General features: G+C 51.1%; 1 protein-coding gene across 3 annotated transcripts in view, besides 4 other annotated features; it reads left to right on the forward strand.

The window, feature by feature from the left end:
* Nucleotides 1-24,085, forward strand: part of COL5A1 (collagen type V alpha 1 chain) — a 203,041-nt gene that overhangs the window by 22,030 nt on the left and 156,926 nt on the right. The gene's annotated exons all lie outside the window — the stretch shown is intronic.
* Nucleotides 16,233-16,754: an enhancer, noted in NCBI's record as "H3K4me1 hESC enhancer chr9:137571911-137572432 (GRCh37/hg19 assembly coordinates)". NCBI's record gives its function as "activates a minimal SCP1, AML or CMV promoter by ChIP-STARR-seq in naive H9 embryonic stem cells {active_cell/tissue: H9 hESC(naive)}" and the evidence as "EXISTENCE:reporter gene assay evidence [ECO:0000049][PMID:30033119]".
* Nucleotides 16,755-17,274: an enhancer, noted in NCBI's record as "H3K4me1 hESC enhancer chr9:137572433-137572952 (GRCh37/hg19 assembly coordinates)". NCBI's record gives its function as "activates a minimal SCP1, AML or CMV promoter by ChIP-STARR-seq in primed H9 embryonic stem cells {active_cell/tissue: H9 hESC(primed)}" and the evidence as "EXISTENCE:reporter gene assay evidence [ECO:0000049][PMID:30033119]".
* Nucleotides 17,275-17,795: an enhancer, noted in NCBI's record as "H3K4me1 hESC enhancer chr9:137572953-137573473 (GRCh37/hg19 assembly coordinates)". NCBI's record gives its function as "activates a minimal SCP1, AML or CMV promoter by ChIP-STARR-seq in naive H9 embryonic stem cells {active_cell/tissue: H9 hESC(naive)}" and the evidence as "EXISTENCE:reporter gene assay evidence [ECO:0000049][PMID:30033119]".
* Nucleotides 17,796-18,315: an enhancer, noted in NCBI's record as "H3K4me1 hESC enhancer chr9:137573474-137573993 (GRCh37/hg19 assembly coordinates)". NCBI's record gives its function as "activates a minimal SCP1, AML or CMV promoter by ChIP-STARR-seq in naive H9 embryonic stem cells {active_cell/tissue: H9 hESC(naive)}" and the evidence as "EXISTENCE:reporter gene assay evidence [ECO:0000049][PMID:30033119]".

Raw genomic sequence — 24,085 nt, forward strand, 5'->3', positions numbered from 1 at the left:
TATTGGATATTGGGGTGGCTCCCCCTTTTTGATACTGCAAGGGCAGGGGTGTTGAGGAAGCTTGCTGTGGCGGGTCACCAGAGCTGCCACCACCGGAGGGTGCTAGAGGCCTTCTTGGGCTCTCCAGGGGGAAGGGAACATCTTGGGGGTGCTGGGCAAGCAGCAGACCCCCTGCCCACCCTCGGGAATCAGTCAGCTGGTGGGAAGGCAGAGCTTTTGCCCTTTAAAGCCAGGGCACTGGCAGAAATGTAGGGTTTGGTAAAGACAGCCTGTCATGTTGGCTGGGAAAGACAGGATTCATCATTGAACTGGGCTAGAGTGTTGCAGAATCCGTCTGGGAAAAAAAGATTGGATCCTGCCCTACTCTTCTACCAAAATGCATTCCAGATGGATCTGAGATGCGAACTTTAAAAATGAAACCATAAAACTACTAGAAGAAAACATGGGAGGCCAGGTTTTACAGTCTTGGGATGGGAAGCTTTTCCGAGTATGACGTAAGCCCCTGCAGTTATAAAAGAAAACAGTTTGACCCCATAAAAGTCAAGATTTTCTATCTGGCCAAAAGAAAAGCAAAAAAACAACTGGTCACCGTAAGAAGAGAATCTACACCTATCTGACGGAAAGGGGGTCGACCTGCAAGGAACTCCCACTGATCAGTCAGAAAAGTCCAGCAAACAAACACCAAGATGGCCGACACACATGGCAAGTTCTCAGGAAGGAAAATACAGGTGACTTTTAAACATGTGAGAAGATGTTAGACTTTACTCACAAGGAGAGAATGGAGGTGAATCCCCAGGGAGAGGCACTGCTCCCTCGGCCAGATGGACAGAGAACAGAAGCTGAGAGTCTGTGACACTGGCTCCTGTGAGGGGCAGTGGGTGTTCCCATGGTGCCTTCTCTGAAAGGCATTTGGCAATATCTATCCAAGCATTAAAACACATGTACTTGGCCGGGCATGGTGGCTCATGCCTATATTTCCAGCACTTTGGGAGGCTGAGGAGGGTGGATCAACTGAGCCCAGGAGTTCGAGACCAGCCTGGCCAACATGATGAAACTCCATCTCTACTAAAAATACAAAAACTAGAGCTGGGCACGGTGGCTCACGCCTGTAATTCCAGCACTTTGGGAGGCTGAGGCAGACAGATCACTTGAGGTCAGGAGTTCGAGACCAGCCTGGCCAACATGGTGGAACCCTGTCTCTGCTGAAAATACAAAAATTAGCCAGGTGTGGTGGCGGGCGTCTGTAATCCCAGCTGCTCAGGAGGCTGAGGCAGGAGAATCACGTGAACCCTGGAGACGGAGGTTGCAGTGAGCCGAGATCATGCCACTGCACTCCAGCCTGGGCGACAGAGAGAGACTCCGTCTCAAAACAAACAAACAAGCAAACAAAAACACACATACTCTTTGACCAGCATCTCCAGTTCCCAGAATGTTTCCTGCAGATATACGTGTGTGTGGAGAACCGCTGTGCAGCACTGTCTGGAAGGGCGAGAGCCGTTTAGGTGGGTTACCATGCAGAACAAAACAAGCACAGCAGCTAAGAAGATGAAGTTTTCATTTGCTGAGGTACACCAATCTCCAAGATATGTTAAGTAAAGCAAAGCAGAATGAAGAATGTTCGTCGTAATGGATCCATCTCTACTCAAAGAAAAGACACACAAATCTAGGCTTGTCTATGATTATTGAAAAGGGATGCATACAAATTGGGACTCGTGTGTAGTTTCTGTAGAGTGGACGGCTGGGTGCACAGGCTGCAGGTCTCTCCTGAATCTTTTGAAAGGGGTTGAATGCGTTGTTGTTCAGCAGGTGGGTCTTTGGAAGGTGGACAGTTGTGTGTGCACAACACAGAGCAGGGACAGGGACGTGGGGCTGGCGGCTCTGGGAGCTGAGAACCTTTCCAGCAAGCAAGCAGCTGGCCTTTGGCTGAAATGACTTAGTCAATTAAAACAACTTGTGGTCTTAAAAAATAAAAAGGCCAGGCATGGTGGTTCACGCCTCTAATCCCAGCACTTTGGGAGGCCAAGGCAGGTGGATCACCTGAGGTCAGGAGTTCAAGACCAGCCTGACCAATATAGTGAAACCCCGTCTCTACTAAAAATACAAAAACTAGCTGGTGTGGTGGCACATGCCTGTGGTCCCAGCTACTTGGGAGGCTGAGACAGGAGAATCGCTTGAACCCGGGAGGCGGAGGTTGCAGTGAGCCGAGATCGCGCCACTGCACTCCAGCCTGGGTGACAGAGCGAGACTCCATCTCGAAATAAAATAAAATAAAAATAAAAAAAGGACAAAGACAGGAAACAAGATCAACCCAGGCAGAGGCTGGATTGACTATATATGATCACTCAGTAATGCTCCGAAAATAGGAGTGTGCCCCTGTAGATGCTCAGAACTGAAACTGTCGTTGCCATCCTTCATCCACTCATTTTACAGGTGGGGAACCTGAGGCTGGTACCTACCTCTCCTGGTGTCACTTAGTAAACTGGGGGCAGAGAAACTGGCACGGGGTCCCTGGGCTCAGCACAGGCTCCTGGGGCCATTCTGCTCAGGCCCATGGCCTTCTTCTCTGGAGAGTGGCTTTTGGCCTCAGGCGAGTCTGTCCAGAAAGGAGAATTCTCTTCTTGGGGAGGCTCTGGGCCTTGGGTGTCAGTGGGCATGAGCAGGCTTCAGGGGACTCGTTCTCAAAGGCACACAGGTTGGGCTGGCCAGGGACAGTCCCAGCCTGGCATGCGTCTTCCTCTTCTCTCTCCTGGATGACTGAGAGCTCGTGAAGGTCAAGGCCTTTGCCTCTCTTGTTTGGCCTCAGGGTGGGGTAAGCTAGTTTGTCCTTTCTCTACCAGGGGGCTCCCTCACTGGGGGTGCCTGGAGGATGGAGTGTGGCTAGCCCATCGTGACCCTTTTCTTCTGCCAGCGGGTATGGGGACACAAACCTGGGCTGGCCTTGATTCAGCACTGAGTCTGTGAGATTTGGGGGAGTAGACTCTTTGGGACTCAGTTTCTTCACCTGTGCGATAGGGTAAAACATTTTGGTCCTTCATTAAATTCACTATTTTCTTCTTTCACGGTATACATGTTGAGCTGCCTTTGCAAAATAACTCACATCTCCTCGAGGATGGGGATGACATGACCCCAGTGCTGATGACAGGGTGATGACACATAACCATTTTTTGATTACTTCCTGTGGGTCTGGCATTGATCTCTAGACATTATGTTTCAGTCATCGGGCATAATGACGAGCTTGTTTTAGAAAAGAGGAACATGAAGGAAATTGCCAGGAACCATACGACTGAGAGCTGGGACCTTGGATCTAGCTGCTTATGGTGACTTTCCCAGCACAGAACTTCTGTGGGCTCAGTGCCTGTCCTGTTATTTGATGTTCACCCGTGGAATGGATGCACACACATTGTACCTTATTCACAATTGGCAGCATCCTGGCCATGCATGGCACCTGTCCCTAGCCTATCTGGTGGGCACTGGAGGTTTGGAAATGCCTCCAGGCCCTCTCAGGATCAGTGGCTGTGGAACGCTGACCACCAGGGCCTTCTTCAGGGAGTCAGAGGGACAAAGGATGTGACAGCATTTGCAGTGGGATGGGCTCTGTTTGGTCACTGGTGCTCAGCAGTTGATGGCTTGGAAGTGGTGTGGCCGGTGACCTCCAGCCCTGCCAGCACCACCCCACACCCTGGTGCTCACTTGTCACTCATAACTGCACCATCTCCATGCACTGCCCCACTAGGGCCTCACCTTGGTGTCCAGCAGCAGGGCCACCTGCTGTCGCTAGGCTTATCTCTTTCCACATCACAGGTATCCTTGCAGTCTTCCTTTCTGGCTGATTCTCTGCTTAGAGGTGCCCCACCTCCCAGGAAGCCAGCCCAGACACAAGATTTGAAGGTCCTTCACCTGGAAGTCCTCAGGCACAGACAGTCATGGGAGGGGGTGACAAGTGCCTGACTCTAGGACAGGGGGCTCTGTGGAGCAATAGGGATCCGTTCATCCTAGAAAAGGAGCTGAAATCCCTCACTTCCTAGGGCGTTTTGTGTCTTGTTTCTATGCAGTCCCTGCTGGAACATGACATTTCCCCCAAACTTCAGCCTCTGCTCTTCCTACCAGGTAGGCTGAGCTGGTCTGTTGTGTTGGAACACAGAGCTGTGAGGGGTGGGAAGGAGTTGAGACCTGCTCATCCACCTTTTCAGCTGACAGTGTTGTGGATGTACCAGGCACTTTGGGTCAGTCATAGCCCCAAATGTCAGAAGCAAAAAGGTGAAGTGTGGTCCCTGCTCTCGAGTCCTGTGTCCTGCTGGGATTGGACAATCAGAAGATCTTGTGATCCATGTGGAATTGCTATCCTGTAGGCCAGAATGATCAAACATTGGCCATTTCACATGGTTCAATCTAATGCTATAAGAATAAACACATAGGATGGCCACTGATCCAGCATGAGGCTTAAGGAGCCCTTTCAGAGGTAGCAATGTCTAAGATGAGGTCTAGGAGATGAATAGGAATTCACCAAGAGTGGGAGTCGGGGGAAGAGGAGGATTCCAGGTCTGAGGAACAGAATGTGCAAACGCCTGATCACTGTGTGATCTTGGTCTTTGCGTGAGGCATTTAGCTTGGCTATCACTCAACACCAGGTAGGGTAGCAGGAGAGAACAGCAAGAAATTGGGTGCCTTAAATTTAGTTTAAATCAGCAAAGGTGTATTGGTGTCTTTACCCACCCATTCATCCATCAATGCATCCATCCATCCATCTATCTACTTGTCCATCCATACCATTAATCTACCCATATATCCATGTATATACCAACCCATCCATCTAAACTATAAATCCATCCAATCAGACACCCACTCACCCATCCATCCAACTGTTCTTCCATCCGTTCACCTGTGCATCCATATCATTAATCTACCCATCCATCTGTCCACCCATTTGTCCATACTCCATGTGTCCATATACTCATGTACCCATTCACTGTTCATCCACCTGTCCACCCACCTATTCATTCAACCAACCATCCAACTGTCCTTCCATCTATGTATCCATTCATCCATCCATCTACCCATTCATCCATCAATCCATCCATCCATCCTTCTGCCCATCCAATCATCCATCCTTCCACCCACCCACCCATCCATCCATCCATCCATCCATCCATCCATCCACCCACCCACCCACTCACCCAACCATCCATCCCATTTATCCATTTACTCACCTATCCATTCATCTACTCATCCTTCCATCCATCCATCCACCCATCCTTTCACCCATTGATCCAGACCATATATCTATTCAATCACCCACCCATCCACCCTCCCTTCCACCTACTCTTCCTTCCTTCCCTCCCTCCTTTTCCCTTTCACTTTTCCTTTCCCTTTCCCTTTCCTTTTCCCTTCCCTTCCCTTCCCTTTCCTTCCCTTCCCTTCCCTTCCCTTCCCTTCCCTTCCCTTCCCTTCCCTTCCCTTCCCTCCCCTCCCCTCCCCTCCCCTTCCCTTCTCCTTCCTTCCTTCCTTCCTTCTTTCCATCCCTTCTTCCATCCATTCATCTACACATCCATTCATCCATCCATCCACTTATCCACCCATCCATTCATCTGTCCATGATTTTGTCATAGCACTGGGCTGCCTCCTCTACCATAGCGATTGGCATTTTTGTGTTAGGGTGGTTTACGACCATCTCAGACTTCCACTGTCTACACTAGGCGGCCAGGAGTGGCTAACTTACTAGTTTCTGCAGTGCTTTGAATGGTACCAGATACAACTAGATTCTCAAGCTGTTTTGTTGGCTTGAACTGAGAGACAAGAGAAATCCAGTTGCAGCAGCAGCCGACGGTACAGTCAGAATCATCATGAGGTGCTGAGTGCTTTTTAAGAGTTATGAGAGGAGGCAGCCTACCACGCCGGAGGAAGTGGGGATGTGGAAGTAACCCTGGCTCTCCGCAGAGGTGGGGTGTGGATGGGAGGGGAGAAGTGAGGAGAGCATTCCTGTTGACAGTAAGACATAAGACAACTCCATGGTGGGAACTGAGAACTGGGAATTTAAAGTCCACATGTTCCTGGATATTGGCTTATAGATTCAGAGACGCAACTCATTCTCCAAATAACTTTGTTAACTTTTCTTGACTCTAAAAGGAACGCATACTCATTATAGTACATTTGGGAAATATCAAAATGACTTTATTTTCCTTTCCTCACATTTTTTCTTTGCATGGTTGAACTCATGTGCAGAAACGGTGTTGTGCCCTGCACTTAGACACAGAGATTTTCTGATGTCATTATCAGCTCTTTGTAAATATCTCAACGGCTGCTGAACATTCCACCGCATGTTTGTATCATAGTTTTCTTAACTGTTCCTCTCATGTTGGGTTTGGGTTGTTTCCAATCGTTTGCTGTTATAAATGACACTTGGATGAACATCTTTCTGATAAATCCTTTCTGTCTCTCTGATTATTTCCTTAGGGCGGATTCTTAGACATTGACTCACTGCATCCAAGCATAGGGACATTTTAAAGCCTTTTTATTGCAGAATTACATTCCAACCAACAGGCAGTTGTCACCTGAGCAACTGTGCCCCAGGCAGTGTTATCCTTAGGTGTTAAACCCAGGTGGACCCCATGTCCGAGAACTGGGGCTGCTCACCCATGCTAAGCCAGTTACTTCCCCCTCTCTGCTCCTAGAGAGGCAGTGGGGAGCTGTGATTTAATGCTTGGGCCCTGGTGTGATTGTTTCCTGGGCCTGTGGCACGTCTTGGAGACCCTTTTAGGCAAGCCCCCGGGTCGTTGTCTGGAGGATGGAGCAGCACTTCCTGCTCCACAGGCTGTCCCGAGAAGCTGAATTACTCTTAAGAGTGGAAACTCACATGCATGTAGAGCTTTAGACCTCTCCTCCCATTGAGTCAGAAAATGTAAGGGAATCTTCTAGAACCCAGCAGACATTCACTAGATGCTCATTACTTTCCCCTCCTTCCCTCCCTTTCTCTGGCCATCTGTGTGCTGAGTCCCCACTGCGGTGATGGAGTGGACAGCTCTGTCTGTGTGGGGGTTCTGCTGACTTGCGGGTCTTCTCCCCACCTGGTGGCTGCACTAAACGCATGTGCCTGGGCCTGCCTTCCACACTGAAATACCACAAGGCCGGGAGGGAGCTGATGTCTGGAGGTGGCTGGTAGAGAGGTGGGCCTGGGCTGCTGTGAGGAGACGTGAAGTCGGGGCCTGCTGCAGCTTTGGGGCCGCAGCCTGACTCAGTCGTCTGGGGCAGCAGGTTGGATTCTTGCAGATGGATTTTTTCAGTGTGAAAATGAGCTCCATGTGGCCCCACACACTTGTGCTTCACCCACTTCTGGGAGGGCAGACGGAGCTGTTCAGACAGCTCCTGCGCATGAGACACCTGGAGAGCCCCCAGCTGCCCACCGCGGAGGGGACCTTGAAGCTTGGCTCCATTAACCCACTGGGTGTGCAGACTCACAGGGGAACGTCAGCTCCAAGTCCTGCCCCCAGTGCACCAATGTGTGGTGCATCCTTTGTTGCGTCTCTGGGATCTCGCACAGTACAGTTATGTGTTCATTCAGGGCCCATGTAGCTGGTTTTGAGTCCATTTCTAGTGTTTTGAAAACTTGCAAAGCTCTCGTAATTGAAAAATGCCTCTGGTCCCGGGGAAGTAATGTAAAATATTCCTCCCAAAGGTCACAGTGACCCACCACAATGTTCCTTTACTTGCATCAAAGAACTGAATAAAATAATTTCAGAGCTGAGTCAGCAGAGCCAGAGAGGAACCCCACTGGGCTCACCCGCAGCTCTAAAGTGGCTCCCCTCGGATGGGTGTGAGGAACCACACATCTGGACGAGTGCGTGAAGGGTTGAGTGGACAGAGAGGGGCTTTCATTTGTAACTGGAAGTGTATTCCTTTTAGCTTCCTCTATCACGTTGTCTGTTTTGCAGCATTTAATAGGTGCTAAACCATCTCCCGGGGCCAATTTCCTTGTATTTCTAAATCTGCCCGTTGTAATGAAACCGTAAAGGCAAGTGCTGTCCGATGCCAGGGCTGGGGAAGAACAATGAGCCAACAGGCGCGTTTGTCTTTTGTCCACATTCCACAGTTTTGTCTGAAAGGGCAAGTGCAAGCTGCACTTGGGCCTGACCAAGGGCCCTGTGAGGACACTTGGTGTGGGGGGGCCCACTTCAAATGTCACACTCCTGGGAAGTGGAGACATTCCTGAGAAGTGCAAATGCAGTTTTGTTTTATAAAGGCCAGTTAAAAATTGCCCATTATCAAGGCAAAGGCCAAAGATCCATGACTGTCTTGCAGCTTCAGTTAGATATGGAGAGATGTTAAATATCTATGTACTTAATTATGTAATGCAATTTCCTGCTAGATGCCAATTGGCATTTATTATTCCATTCATTTGTTATAAAAGCAATATGTGTCCATGATAGAAGTGTTAAAAGCTACCAAAAAGTATAAAAAAGAAGATGAAAATGAGTCATAATGTCTTATTTGTTTAAACCATTATGATGGTGATGGTGATGATTATGATGATGTTAATGATGTTGGTTTCTATTAAGTATAACCAAACACATTACTAAAGGAACATTTTGATGTATTTACTTTCTACTATTTGTTCCATGCCTGTATTTGCAAAATTGGGATTACATACTACTTTGTAGTAGTTTTAAACTTAAAACATGATGAGCAAATCTCAATAAATTAGGAATAAAAGAGAAGCCCCTCAATTTGATAAAGGACATTCATGTAAAATCCACATACTAAATGCTTTCACCCTAAGATCAGGAACAAGGCAGGAACGTCTGCTCGTATCACACCTATTAACATTGTATGGAGATCCTAGCTGGTGAAATAAGGTAAGAAAATAAAATAAGAGGCATATTGATTGGAAAGGATGAAGTAAAACTGTCTTTATTTGCAGATCACATTAGTGACTATGTGAAAAAAATTCTAAGGAATCTACAAAATAACTTCTAGAACTAAAAAGTTTAGCATGGCGACAGAATACAAAGTCAATTTACAAAAATTCATTGTATTTCTAGATACTAGCAATGAACAGTTAGAAACAGGAATTTAAAAAGCTGTTACAACAATATTAAAAATATAAAATACTTAGAGATATATCTAATGAAAATATGCATGACTTATTCACTGATGATTACAAAATATTGCATAGATAAATCAACGAAGATCTTAAGATTTAAATGCAAAGATATACCATTCTCATGGACCAGAAGACTCAATATTGTTAAGATATTATTCCACCTCGACTTGATCTATAGATTCAATTCAATGTCAATTAAAATCCCAGCAGGCTTTTTAAAAATAGAGATTGATAAGATGATTCTGAAATTTATGTGGGGATGCAAAGGACCTAATATAACCAAAACAATTTTGAAAAAGAAGAACATCGGAGGGCTTATGCTTTGTGATTTTGAGACTTGCTCTAAAGCTATAGTGATGAAGACAGTGTAGTGTTGACAGAAAGACATATAGACCAATGGAATAGAATCAAGTCCAGAAATAGACTCACATGTAAATAATCTTTTGGTTTTCCATAAAAGTGCTAAGATGCTGCAGTGAGCCGAGATCACGCCACTGCACTCCAGCCTGGGCAATATGGCGAGACTCCATCTCAAAAAAAAAAAAAAAAATGCTAAGATACAATGGTGCTGAAACAACTGGATATCTATTTGCAATAGAATAAGCCATGACCCTTACCTCAAATAATATACAAAAATTAAGATGGGTCATGTATTTAAAGGTAAGATTTAAAACTTTTATAAAGCATAAGACAAAAGAGAAAATCTTGAGTTTTTTTACCTTGAGTTAGGCAAAGATTTCTTAGATAGGAAACAAAACTATGAGCCATTAAAAGATTAAAAAGCTGATAAATCAGACTTTATTAAAACAACACCTTATACTTTTCAAAAGACACTGTTGGAAAATGGAAAGGTAATAAGATTGGAAGAAAATGTTTATAAAACACATATCTGATAAAGAACTTATGTCTAAAATGCATAAAACATGGTCACAACTCCACAGCATGGAGGCAAATGACCCCACTTAAAACTGGGCAGAAGATTCAGACAAATGTTCCAGAAAAGAAGACAGAGGCGTGCCAACATGCATCTGAAAAGATGTTTGTCAGGGTTAGTCATTGGAGAAATACAACTTAAAACCATAAGGACATACTGCAAAAGTGTGAGTGAGGATGTGGAAAAACTATCACCCATTCTTGGTGGGGATGCAAAGGGGTGCAACCACTTTGGAAAACAGTTTGGCTGTGTTTTATAAGATTAGCCCTTCCTTTACCACAGGACAAAGTAATTCCATGTATAGGCATTCATCCAAGAGAAATGAAACATGCGTCCATACAGAGACATGTATGTGAGCACTCATGTGCTGTGTTATTGCAATAGCCTCAAGCAGGGAGCAGCCCAAGTGCCCACCTGGTACGGGGACAAACAAGCGGGAATACTGCTTGGCAACAGAAGGCATGAGTGCCCGAACAGGGTGGCACGAAAGCACTGTGCTAAGCGAGAGAAGCAGACACGAAAGACGCAGGGGACACGGTTCCATTTATATGACATTTGAGAAAAGGCAGAACTGCAGGGACAGAAAAAAGATGAGTGAGGAGAGAGACATAAGGGAACTCCTGGGGGTGATGGACATGTTGTGTATCTTGATAGTGTGTGTGTGTGTTGGATGAGGGTGTGGAGGGTACAGCACTATCCATTTGTCCAAACTCATTCAACTGCACACTTACAAAGAATGAATTTGGCTGGTGCGATGACTCACGCCTGTAATCCCAGCACTTTGGGAGGCCGAGGTGGGTGGATCACCTGAGGTCAGGAGTTCGAGACCAGCCTAGCCAACGTGGCAAAACCCTGTCTCTACGAAAAATACAAAAGTTAGCTGGGTATAGTGGCGCATGTAATCCAGCTATTTGGGAAGCTGAGGCAGGAGAATCGCTTGAACCTGGGAGGTGGAGGTTGCAGTGAGCTGAGATGGCGCCACTGCACCCCAGCCTGGGTAACAGAATGAGACTCCATCTCAAAAAAAAGAAAAAGAATGAATTTTACTGCATATAAATTATACCTCCATGAACCTGACTTAAGCCACAAATGCCTTGAGCATTTCCTCACGTTTCAATATTCCCTTATTAATACTAATAATTATTAATAAATGAAATAAATGGTAATATTAATGTAACATTAAGGCACAGATGAGTGGCTATGGTATTCTGTTGGTTGTACAGAGTGTACTGTGATATGTGCAGTCCTCTCCAGTTGGGACATCTGCTTTCTTTCTATGTTTTTTCAGTATTGCATGTAATTGTTGGGTGAGCGTTTTGATTAAGCATTTGTATTCATCTCAAATTCAGTGTTAAACTCCCATAGGAGCATAAAGAGAATGAATGTCCCTCAGACTTTCAGTACTAAGTGTCAAACTGTTTCCTGAGAGGTGTCAATTTAGACTCCTGTGGGTACTGAATGAGAATTTGCATCCTTGCCAAAAATTGGTCACTTAAAAAAAAATTTGTGCCAGTTTGATGGGAGACAAAGTCCTCTTGATTTAATTTGTATTTAGCTACTAGTAACATCGAATGTTATTTATTTGTTCCCCCCTTTTTCTAGTTGCAAGAACATCTCCTGTGTATTTCTGTTGTACACATCTTGTTGTTTATTGCCTGTTCTTTTTTGTTGTTGTTGTGGTTCTCTATTGCTGCGGAACAATCACTTCAATACCTGGTGGCTTAATAGCATCCTCTTATTTTGTGTGTGAATCTGCGTTTTGAGCACGGTTTGTTGGGGACCCTTTGTGTGCTCCACATGACTTCAGGTTGAGTGGCTTGTTTGGGGCTGGGGGATCCATTTCTAGATGGCTTTTCCACATGTGTGGTGTTGATCCTGGCTGTTGGCTGAGGGCCTGGGGTTCTCTTCACATGGAGCCCTCCAAGGGGCTGCTTGAGCTTCCCCACAGCATGGTGTCTTGGTCCTAAGAAGGAGCATTCCAAGAGACATGGGAGTAGAGTCTCCCAGTTTCTTAAAGCCTAGACTTGTGAGCCAGCAGTGTTGCTTCCATCACGATCTATCAGTCAGGTGGCCACAAAGCCCACCTTGATTTAAGGGAGGGGACATAGACCCCACCCCTTGATGGGCTGTTATGTTAGATACTTTGTGGCCATTTTGAAACTTCCACACTTTAAAAATTTTGTTTTGGCATTTTTTTTTTGTTAACAAAATTATGCCAGTTGTATGTGGCTAAGTATTTACACAATTTTTATGAAGTGGAGGGATATAGAGAATGATAAGCAGACCTTCCCCTTCACTGCTCCACCAAACCTCAGCCCCTTTCCAGAAGTAACCCCTCAACTCTCTGATCGGTATTGTTCTGGACTTACTGGTGTGTGTATTTGCATGGTGTTTTATCAGATGACATTGCCATCTTTTACTTATTTTAAGATGAAAGGGATTGTGCTTTATAAGGATTTCCATGGCTTAAGGACATGTTGGGCCATCTCTCCATCTCAGGCCGTCTGCATGAACCCCTTCCTGTCTGGCCTCTGCAGCATATTTGGCAAATGCAGCTTTGTTGATTTAACCAGTTCCCGATTGATGGGCATGTGCTTTGTTTTCAGTTCTTTGCTGCTGTGAGCAAGCCTTGGATGTCCTGGCACAGAGCAAGCCTTTCTGTAGGATTCAGCCCTAAAGGGGGGCATGGCAGGTCAATGCATGTGTACATCTGCATTGAGATCCTGCAAAATTGCTGCTCCCGAAAGGCTCCTTCTTCCACTGGCATTCGTCTTGGAGCCACGAATGCACAGTTCCTTTGTTTGTTCATTGGTTGATTTGTTCATTTAGTCCCTCCTTTATTTGCTGGTGGGGGTGGTGCTTCATTGTTCACTTATTGTCCCTTAGTTGGTTTGTTCATTTGTTCCTTCATTTGCTCTTTGGTTGGGTCATTCCTGCATTTGTTCACTGGTTGGTTTGATCATCTGTTGATTGGTTCCTTTGGTTATTTTTTCCTTTGTTTGCTCATTGGCTGGCTTCCTCCTTCTTCCTTCCTTTGAGCGCTGTACCAAGCATCTGCTCTGAGCTAAGCTCTCTTCTCTGCTGTGGATTAAGGGCAAGACTTGTCCCTTCCCTAAAGGAGCTCACGGTCTGGGAAATAGCAAGTCCCTTGGAGCACCTGCTGCCAGTCCTGGGCTTGGGGAGGCCATGGAGTGCTCTGGTTGTGGTTTGCTGGGGAGACACAGAAGAGGCAGGGACACCAGGAAGCGGCGGTCCATCCCCTCGTGATTGGTGGCAGGGCCTCTCATCTTCCTTGAGCTTCATGAAGGAACAGTGTCTCTGCTGGATGCTACCTTGAATATTCAGAATAACTTACTTGAGAGTGGGAAGCCTGAAAGTCCAGCCTTTTTATCCAGATCTCAGCTACCAGTCATGGCTTCTCGGGGAAGGCAGGCCCTGGTATTACACCTCCTTTCCTGCAGGGGAAAAGGCTCAGGGTGGTGGAGCTGCCCTTGGTTCTCAGGTACATCCTTGTGCTGGGTTCCACTGAGCATTTCAGGACAGCAGGAGAGGTTTCTCACTGCCTTCTAAATCCCGAATCTGCCCACACAGGCAGGAATCCAGTGCATCCAGTAGAGAGAGGCCATGTGCAAATGCTCAGGTTCGTGGAGCCAGGCTCTTGCCCCTGATGCTGAAATGATAGGAGGGTGAGGTTTATCAGCGGGATCTTCGGGGTGATGACATTCCTTCCCCCATCACTCCTTGGCACAGCCACCCTTCATCCAGCCGTCCCTGGGGCCATTCTTCAAGCGCCCTTTTCCATCCTGTAGTGAGCCATCTGTCTATATCCATCCCTCCATCCTTTCTCAGTCCGGCCATCTTACTCCCTGTTCCTCCTTCATCTCTTCACGTGTCTGTGTGTCTGTCCTTGAGTGAGTGCCCAGCTGCAGTGTGTGGTTGAGACAGTGGATGCGGGAGGACTGTGAATAGGCTGCTTTCTCCACAGCTGCCTGGAACGCCCCATGGCATGGTTCCACGGGAGGGGCATCTTCTGCCTGGCCCTTGTTCCACCGCTGGGGGTCTCAAGATTCTCTGTCGCCCCATAGCTTGGGTATGGAGGGCCTCCTCTCCATGCAAGGCCTCCTATGGTCCTGAACATCCTGTGAAGAACAATTCCGCTCTTCCTCGGATTGAGCCTCGCTCTGCCCTCATCATGGCCCCAGTGCTCTCCCCAGCGTCACTCCCTCCGCAGCAGGGTATCTGCAGGGGTCTTGGAGGCATTCTCCCAGCTTGCAGCCCCATGGTGCAGAGGAAAGATTTTGGACCCAAATGGATGCTGTCTGAAACTCAGGTGGTCTGTATCTCTGGTGGTCTGTGGCTCTGAAGCCATGGGCAGCTTGCTCTACCTCTCTCACGCTGAGTTTCCTCATGTACCAGTGAAGGGGCCGACACTGTGGGCCAAGTTGATGAATAAGGGAAGTGTGGCAGCTGGGCGCAGAGCACATAACAGGTGCACAGTCCTCAGCTGCCCCTCCCCCATGGTGCTCGGGTGCATGGATGGTGCCCAGGGTCCAGTCCCCCAACAACAGGCTCATTGCAGTGGCCTGCCGCCCCGGTGTGTGTCCCTGACTCAGGGGTCCCATCGGCAGGTGTGTTGGCTGGTGCCAGCCCCGGGAAGCTGTCTGCATCCCTGCAGGGCAAGCACCTGCTTCTCACCACCTGCTGCTCCTCCATGGTCTCTTCAGAGCCTGTTTTTATCCTGGCTGCTGTCATTCCTGAGCTGATGTGCACTCCTGCAGTGAGCGACAGAGACCCCCATTTCCTTCCCTGTGGCTGGGCAGCTGGACCACCCAGGATGACAGCCCAAGTGATCCACCAGGACTCTCGCAGTGCAGACAAAATGAAACTGGCCCTCGCTGGAGGAACGGGTGGGCCGGGCCCTGGGTGAAGGGGCTGGAGCTAAATGCCGTTGGAACTGGGTGGCCCCTGAAGTGTCTGCTTTTTGCCAAGGCAGAGCCTGGGAAGAGGGAGCAGGGATCAGGCTGGTTGGTGTTACCCCCTGCTGGGGGGCAGGCGTTAGATCTGTGCAGGGTGAGGCTCCGAGGCTTGCTGGGTCAGTCCCATTCAGTGGCTCTGTGTTGGGGTCACGTGGTATCTGCCCTCTGTTATCCGAGATGCCTTTCAGGCCTTCAGTTCTCATCAATTCTCAGTTCATTTGGAGCCTCCTCTTCACTACTTGACACCCTTAAAGTGATACCCTGCCATCAGCGCTGGGAAACTGATCATCCTTTTCTTCCTTTCGCTCTCTGGGCCTCCTTGTCTTGTGTCTTGTGTGGAAAGAGCAGTCTCCGAGGCCCTAACCTACCACCCCGCAGTCCCTCCCCGATCTGTCCCCTGCACTGTGGGGCTGGCTAGGGGGCACTGCCGGGCTGGTTAGGGGGCACTGCCGGGCTGGTTGGGGGTACTGTGGGGCTGGCTAGGGGGCACTGCAGGGCTTATTAGGGGGCACTGCAGAGCTAGTTGGGGGCACTGCGGGGCTGGTTAGGGGGCACTGTGGGGCTTCTTAGGGGGCACTGTGGGGCTGGTTGGGGGCACTGTGGGGCTGGTTGGGGGCACTGCGGGGCTTCTTAGGGGGCACTGTGGGGCTGGTTAGGGGCACTGTGGGGCTGGTTGGGGGCACTGCAGGGCTGGTTGGGGGCACTGCGGGGCTTCTTAGGGGGCACTGTGGGGCTGGCTAGGGGCACTGTGGGGCTGGTTGGGCACTGCGGGGCTGGTTGGGGGCACTGCGGGGCTTCTTAGGGGGCACTGCGGGGCTGGTTGGGGGCACTGCGGGGCTTCTTGGGGCACTGCGGGGCTGGTTAGGGGGCACTGCAGAGCTGGTTACGGGGCACTGTGGGGCTTCTTAAGGGGCACTGTGGGGCTGGTTGGGGGCACTGCGGAGGTGCCCCGGTGCTCTCCGGTGGTCAGATCTCAGGCTCCTGCCAGCCAGTCCCCTCGCGAGGCCCCACTGCCAATATGTCCCTCTTACAGATAATGACAGGCAGCCTCTGGGATGGGACCCACTTTGCCCAGGACCATGGGGCTTGTACATGGGGGGTTTAGGATCCAAGTCAGTCCACCCCGGGAGTGGGGTGGTGCCGGGTCAGGTGGGCCTGTGCCTGTGGGGAGGGTGGTCTAGTGTCAGACACAGATGAGCCATAGATCCTTTGCACAGAGAATCTCATAATAAGCAATGCAGTGAGAGCAGTGACACTGTCATCTTCAGGAAGGACTACCCCGGAGGCCCTTTGGACGGGCCCTTCATTCTTCAGCAAGGAATGATGAGCTGGGAGCCATGAACAAGCGCAGTGCCTCTGGGTACCTCAGAGCCCACTCAGGGCAGCCATCCAGGCGAAGGTTAACATAGAGCCTCCAGGCCCGGCTACAGGCCATTTTCTCACCCTGTGAAACACTGCGGGTCGGTGCACAGGTGTCTGGATGTGGACTTAGCTCAGTCCTGAAGGCTCTGTTGACAGACAAGCTGGGCAGGTGGGCAGAGTCATTTTTACAAAGGTTGGTGGCATGGAGGGGTGGGGACAGCAGGCCCCTTCCAGGTGCGAGCTCCCTGCCCGGCACACCTGTACCTGTTCCTCCATGACCCATGGCTGAGGACACCAACCTGGTCCCCGCTGTGGAGGGCGGAGCTGGCATCCTGACTAGCCCTGGTCAGTTCCAAACTGCTGCTCTCTGCTGTACCATGTCCGGTGAGGTCCTGAAGTGCAAAAGGCCTTGAGGTGGGGCCCCAGGGGCTTGGGGAGGGTGGCCATGCTGTGCACTGCACAACCCCAGGGAGCGCTGTTCTAATGCACCATGATGGGGTCTTGCAGGACGGTGACACTGGTGAGGAGATGGACCTGTGACAGCCAGGGCCTCCCGGGAAAATTCCACAGGGGCAGAAGGACGGGTGAGGGCCGGGACTTTGACATCAGGCAGAGGAGTTGGACGTTGATGGGAGCTTTTAGGTGGGTGCATGGAACCTGCTTTGGCGAAGTGGCAGTGAGCGCAGGGACAGGCTGGGAGTTTGGGCTCAGGTCTCCAGGTCTCCGCCTGGCACTGCAGCCTCGGGGGGCAGCGGGAGAGGCCGGGCCATCTGCCATCCTCCCAGGATGGTGTCCTCGGCCTGTGCTGCAGCCCCAGGCCCTCTGTGCATTTCCCACCCCCTGCCCCTTTGCTTTGCTCCCTGGTTTAGTCATTGAGGAAGAATTTCAGTCGCAGCCTCCAGAGCGCCTCTGTTTTTCGACCTGCTGGGTTGACCTCACTGATGAGGCCGCCTGCCTTGCAGGGAGGGCTGGGGTGGGGGGGCCTCAGCCCTGGGCCAGACCCTCCCTGGTGGCTCGATGGCTCGGCCCTCAGCCCGGCCCTTCAAGAACTGTGGCTCTCTGGCTTCCAGGAAATACAGGAAGGGAACTAGGAGGGACAGCCGCCCTTCCCCGGCTCTGCAGGGCCCTTTACAAACAGAGCAAATTGATGGCTTCGTGAACAATTTCTGCGAGCATCTGCGGGTGCCGGGCTGTGCGGGGCCCCTGCCCTCCTGCAGTTCACAGCCCGTGGAGGAGACACACGCTGCCCATGGAACACACATAGCAGGGATATGGTTCCAGTGATGGGGCCACGGGTGGGACCGGAATGGAGGCTGCCAGCTGTGTCTGGAGAGGCCAGCGTGTGCCTGTGGTTTCGGGAGCCTGTCACTGGCTCCAGAGTGGAATAGCGCTTGGGACTGGGGTGGACTGGGCACTGAGGGTGACTCCCTTGCAGCCCCAGCATGGCACCAGCCTGCGAGTGACCATGCTCACCTGCCCTGTACCTCGATTCCTCTTTCCCAATGAAGGCTCTTAGCCCAGATGCTATTTATGACTCCTGGCTCTAAAATTAGAGTTCTAGCCCGAGAATTGTGAAGACCTCAAGCTTGGGGTTATTTAGAGACTCTCAAGTTTTTCTTGAAGTTAAGGATATTGACTTTGGGGCCTGCAGAAACCTCCCCTCTCTTCCTCGCTCTTCCTCTCTTTCTCTCTCTGTCTCTCCCTCTCTCTTTCTGTCTGTGTAGCTCTCTCTCTCTCCCTCTCTCTCCCCATCTCTCCCTCCCTCTCTCTCTCTCTTGCTCTCTGTCTGTCCCCACAGCTGCCTTCCCCGAACCCCTGATCCCCAGCTCATTCTATCAAGTCCACCCTGGTCCCTTGGCTGTGCAGGCCACAGACATTTGGCAGGACGTGGCCTGGGCTCAGTGTCTGGGACCGTGGTGCTGAGTGTTTGGCGGTGACCTCTGGAGGACGGGCCGGGGAGCTTTAAGGGCCAGGCAGAAATGCTGCCCTGTTCGGGCTGGGGGCTGGACTGGGTGTCCCCAGAGCCGACAGCACTATTCGGCTGGGTGCCAGGGACCCAGCCTAGTGCCTCGCCTTCCCCCAGCCATGCTGCCTGGAGGCCGGGTCCTGAGCGGAGCACTCTGTACCTGTGTCACCCAAGAGCTGCGGCTTCCTTTAGCCACCACAGCGGGCATGGGGAGGGGACTGTGCGGGTGAACATGGGGCAGAGAGATCGGGCTGGGCCAGCACACTTCCCCAGAGACCCTGACCCCAGGACCGACGGAGCCAGCCCAGTGCCAGGGACAGAGTTGGAAATAACCTTCTAATGAGATAAGGAGATAAAGATGATACTAGAATCCTACCACACTGCCTGGTGGGGTGGGGGAGAGCCTGCTGCCCAGGAAGGGCGCAGGAATCCCGGAGGTCAGGCAGGTGGGCGAGTCAGAACTGAGGGGCACTCCTTGACTGGAAAGTAACAGTGGGCACTGCTCCGGCTCAGGGGGGCACCGGGACGGGGGAGCTGAGGAAAAGTCACCCCCAAGTGACCACGAGTGACCAGGTGGAATCTGCTGGTGTGTTGTGGTTCTGGGGCCAGGGGAGCATCCCTGTGCATTTGTTGGCAAAAAGGAGCAGGCTCTGATGGATCGCAAATGCCCAGCCTTTGGGAGCGGGGACTGCGGCCAGCACATCATCCGGTGGGGACAGACAGCCTGGGCTTCAAAGGCAGCCGACCCATAGCCAGTGCTTAAAGATATTGAACTTGTTTAGGGGAAAAAAAGGAATTAGAGAAAAAGATCCAATGCAGACCCCAGCAGGCCTCGTAGGAGCGTGCGATCCCACGGCCTCAGACCCGGCTTCCTTCCTGGGCAGGGGAGGCACCCTCCCCTCTGTTCACAGCTTGCTCTTGCTCTGTGAGGGCCGCCATGAGACGGTGACAGCAGAGTGGCACGCCAGGCTGAAGTGGGCTTTTATTTAGAAAAGTAGAACGGCTGTAAGGTGGTCAGGGGTCACCTCCTCCCGTGGCAGTGCTGAGGCTACAGGTCCCCTGGCTGCAGGAGTCCTCGAACACCGGCAGAGAGGAAACCTGTGTGGCCATCCCGTCTCACCTCCAAACCTTCTGCCCTTGGGAAAAAAGTGGGACTTTCCTCTTGAGCCCGTCGCGGGCTGATCACCATTCCTCCCTGGGGAGGAGGGCCAGGCCAGGGAGCGGGGAACTGATAGCTGAGGAGGCCCACACCACTGCACCCAGAGATGGGCACTGTTTAGTAGCAGATGTTGGGATCTAACTCTACTTGGCGTTAGCATAAAGGTGGATACACCAGTTTCTGTAGATGTTCAGGCACAGCTTGATCCAGCTACTCAAACTGTGTGGCCAGTCTGTCTCTCTGCATCCTCTTACACCCTCTCCCAGGCTGTTGTGTGTAGAAGCTGTGGGTTGCTCAGTCGTTCAGCAAACACGGCTGAGTGCCCAGTGTGTGTGGGCTCCTGTGCAGGCCCCGGTCCTGCCCTGCATGCAAGGGCTCTGTTCCTGCCGCCCTTTGATACTCCCTCTCCATCAGGGCCCACCCCACCTGAGAGTGGGTGCTTGTGCCCTGGGAGCAGCTCATTGCACCCCCTTTCCTGGGGCGCCGGCACCCGGTGGGCTTTTCTGGCTGATTGTCTTTTGTTCTGAAGACCCGTTCCCCACTGGGGAGATGAGGCTCTGAGGTCAGCACTTGGCAGGGTGCCCCCAAGCGTCTCCCTTCCTCGAGGCTGGCAGGATGGTGGTGCTATGGAGCGTCCAGGCTCAGGTTCCGGATTCCATTCTGAGGACACATCTGCGTCACTCAAGAGGGTGGCCCCAGACCTCCACTCTCCTTCCCGAAAGCAGCGGACTTCTGCAGCGTTTCTGTTGTTGGTGGAGAAGCGTTCTTTCATGAGGGGCCCCACTTCCAAGGGGAGGGGCTGCTGAGCCTGAGAGATGCTCTCCAGCAGGGCAGGCTGTGACCGGGCCGAAGTTGCCTCTTCCTTGCTTCTGAGCCCTCGGAGGAGTGCTCGGGCACCAGTGGACGACCAGGAACTGATTTAAGTTCCCGCTAAAAGCAGCCATCTCATTCCATCAGCTCCTGTAGGTGCCGGAGCCCTGTACAGATGTCCAGCAGCCCCCCAGGTCTCGGGGGGAAACAGAGCGTTGCTGGGCTGGGTGCTGTGATGCTGCCCTGCCATGTCTTCAGCCACCTGGCTGCCAGCATTCATCCTTCTCAGCAGGTCTGTGAGCCTCAGGCCTTAAGGGGAGCCCAGGGCTCCATCCTCATGCCTCACCAGCTCAGTTTCAAGCCCTCATCTCTGGTTCTTTGTGCTGGGCCACATTAGTCCACTGCTGGTCCAGGCCAGGAGCACCTGGGTGCGCTGAGCACTGTAGTCCTTGCATGAAGTTTCAGCATCTCATGTCCTGCAGCTGTGTGATGAGAGGGTGGCAAGCCCTAGAGTGACATGGAATGCGGTTATTCTGGGTCAGCTCTGGAGGAGCAGAGAAGCTGACCTCCATGGGGATCGTGGAAATGCCTGTTGGGGACAGAGAAAGTTATCCTAGCATGGTTAGTGGAGGCATTGTTATTGGCTGGTGGAAAGGCTGACAACTTAGTGCAGCAATTGTAAAATTGCCCTATACCTCCTGATTTTCACCATTCACTTGCTCATCTGTTCACTGATTGATCCATCCACTCATCCATCCATCCACCATCTATCCATTCACCCATCCATCCATTCATCCATCCATCCACCATCCATTCATCCATCCATCCACCATCCATCCATTAATTCATCCATCCATCCACCATCCATCCATTAATTGATCCATCCATCCATCCATCCATTCATCCATCCACCATCCATCCACCATCCATCCATCCATCCATCCATCCACCCACCATCCATCCATCCACCATCCATCCATTCATCCATCCATCCATCCATCCATCATCCTCCCATTCATCCATCCATCCACCATCCATCCATTCATTCATCCTTCCATCTGTCCATCCATCCATCCATCCACCATCCATTCACCCATCCATCCATTCATCCATCCATCCACCATCCATCCATTAAGTCATCCATCCATCCATCCATCCACCATCCATCCATCCACCATCCATCCATTCATCCATCCATCTGTCCATCCATCCATCCATCCGTCCATCCACCATCCATTCACCCATCCATTCATCCATCCATCCACCATCCATCCATTAATTCATCCATCCATCCATCCATCCATCCATTGTCCATCATCCATCCATCCATCCATTCATCCATCCATCCATCCGTCCATCCATCCATCCATCCATCACCATCCATCCATCCATCCATCCACCATCCATCCATCCAGCATCCATCCATCCATCTATTCATCCATCCATCCATCCTCCATCCATCCATCCATCCATCATCCATCCATCCACCATCCATCCATCCACCATCCATCCATGCATCCATTCATCCATCCACCATCCATCCACCATCCATCCACCATCATCCATCCATTGTCCATCATCCATCTATCCATCCATTCATCCATCCATCCATCCATCCACCATCCATCCACCATCCATCCACCATCATCCATCCATTGTCCATCATCCATCTATCCATCCATTCATCCATCCATCCATCCATCCACCATCCATCCATCATCATCCATCCATCGTCCATCATCCATCCATCCACCCACCCATCCAGCCACCATCCATCCATCCATTCATCCATCCACCCATCCATCCACCATCCATCCATCCATCCACTCATCCATCCATCCATTAGCCATCCATCCACCCACCCATCCATCCATTCATCCATCCATCCATTCATCCATCTATCCACCATTCATTTATCCACTATCCATCCATTCATCCGTCCATCCTGCATGTCTGTGTTGAGCTCCTCCTATGTGCCAGTGCTGCAGTCTTGCTTGTATTTCTTATCAGGGTCTTTGTGCTGCCTTTTGTGGTGCATGACACCCACGCAGAACTCAAACTTTCATTTCCAAATTATTCTCCTTCTTCCTTCCTCCTTCTCCTTCTCCTTTTTCTTCTTCTTTCTCTTCCTTTTTTTCGAGACCAGGTTATGCTCTGTCACCCAAGCTGGAGTGCAGTGACACGATCCTGGCTTACTGCAACCTCCACCACCCAGGGTCAAACGAGCCTCACACCTCAGCCCCTCAGTAGCTGGGATCACAGGTGCATGCCACCAAGCCCAGCTAATTTTTGTATTTATGTAGAGACGGGGTTTTACCATGTTGCCCAGGTTGATCTCCAACTCCCGAGCTCAAGCCATCTGCCTGCCTCGGCCTCCCAAAGTGCTGGGATTCCAGTCCTGAGCCACCGCGCCTGGCCATCAAATTCTTTTCAGTCACCTCCCTTCTTCCTTAAAACTGACCTTGCTGGCGTCCATTCCTTTATAGGTCTGGGGACCTGATGCCTGGTTATATCCTCATGAAAATGGGCCTCTGGGATGCCAGTGACAAATACTTCTACTTGTAACAGTGCAGGGGATGCAGGGGCCAACTTCTCTAACTCTGATCAACTCGGGGATGGACAAGAGGTATTCCCTGGGCAAGCGAGGCTGTGCAGGATGCCTGACCCCTAGGTGCTGGGGGTAAACACTTCTTGTAGTTTAAAGATTCTGATGCCCGTGGCCTTGTGCTGGGCCCATGTCCCATAGGTGGTTCCAGGGAGGCTCCTGGTTTCAGTGCACACAGCTGATGGGAGCAAGCCACGATGGGGAAAGGGATTGAATGCAGGGAGTCAGGTGGATACAGTCTCCGGGAGACCCGGCGTGGTGGGGTCAGGAGGCCCCACTCCACTATCCCATTTGGGGTTGCACCACCATAGCGAGGCTGCCACCCAGACTGCAGGAAGTTGCTGCTGCCAATGCCGCCTGGTGCCCTGAAGCTGGTCCCAGGCCGTGGCATGCGTGGGGGTCTGGACATGAGGATCACCTCCATATGCTGTGTCTGGGGATATGGCCCTGCTGGCTGTGCCAGGGCGGAGGAGGCTGCCACCTCCCTCTCACTGTCCAGCTCCATGAGTCTCTCTGATTGGCAGATTCTAATTTGCACCCTGCATCCTTATGCAAAGGCACCTGGGAAGTGTAGTTTTTAGCTCCCCAGACTGCAGAGCAGGATGGTGCCTAGAGGAGACAGGGCTGGAGCTTGGGTGGCCAAGGCACAGCAGGACACCTGCTATTCTCTGGGACTTCATCCATCCATCCATCCATCCATCCATCCATCCATCCATCCATCATCCATCCATCCATTCATCCATCCATCCATCCATCCATCCACCATGTGATGGACTGACCCCATAGGTGATCCGGTCATGGCGAGGGTTCCATGGAATCAACAAAGTTTTTGTTTCATGAAGCTTTCGGAGCTGGCCTTCTGTGCATCAGATGGTCGGTCTCAGGAACCTCTGGGCACAGCTGCATGGTCCTTCACTAAAGAGTAGGCACCGGGCTGGGTGTGGAGACCACACGCGTGATGCCATCTCGTCTTCACTGAGCACCTGGGCTGCTCGGTGGGTCCTCTGGGAACTGCTGGTGATGGGCCCCTGCCTGGCTGTCTAGGAGAAAAGGGCAAAAGAGAGGGGCTCTTGTTTGTTGAGCCGGGAAGTGCACGGGCCAGTGTGCGGTGGCCACTGTTGATTCTGCAGCTTCTCTCACTGGCCTTGACCCACTGGGATCCACCCTCTGGTGGGGGGT

This window comes from Homo sapiens, chromosome 9 (assembly GCF_000001405.40).
Source record: "Homo sapiens chromosome 9, GRCh38.p14 Primary Assembly".
In the NCBI taxonomy this organism is placed as follows: Eukaryota; Metazoa; Chordata; class Mammalia; order Primates; family Hominidae; genus Homo; species Homo sapiens.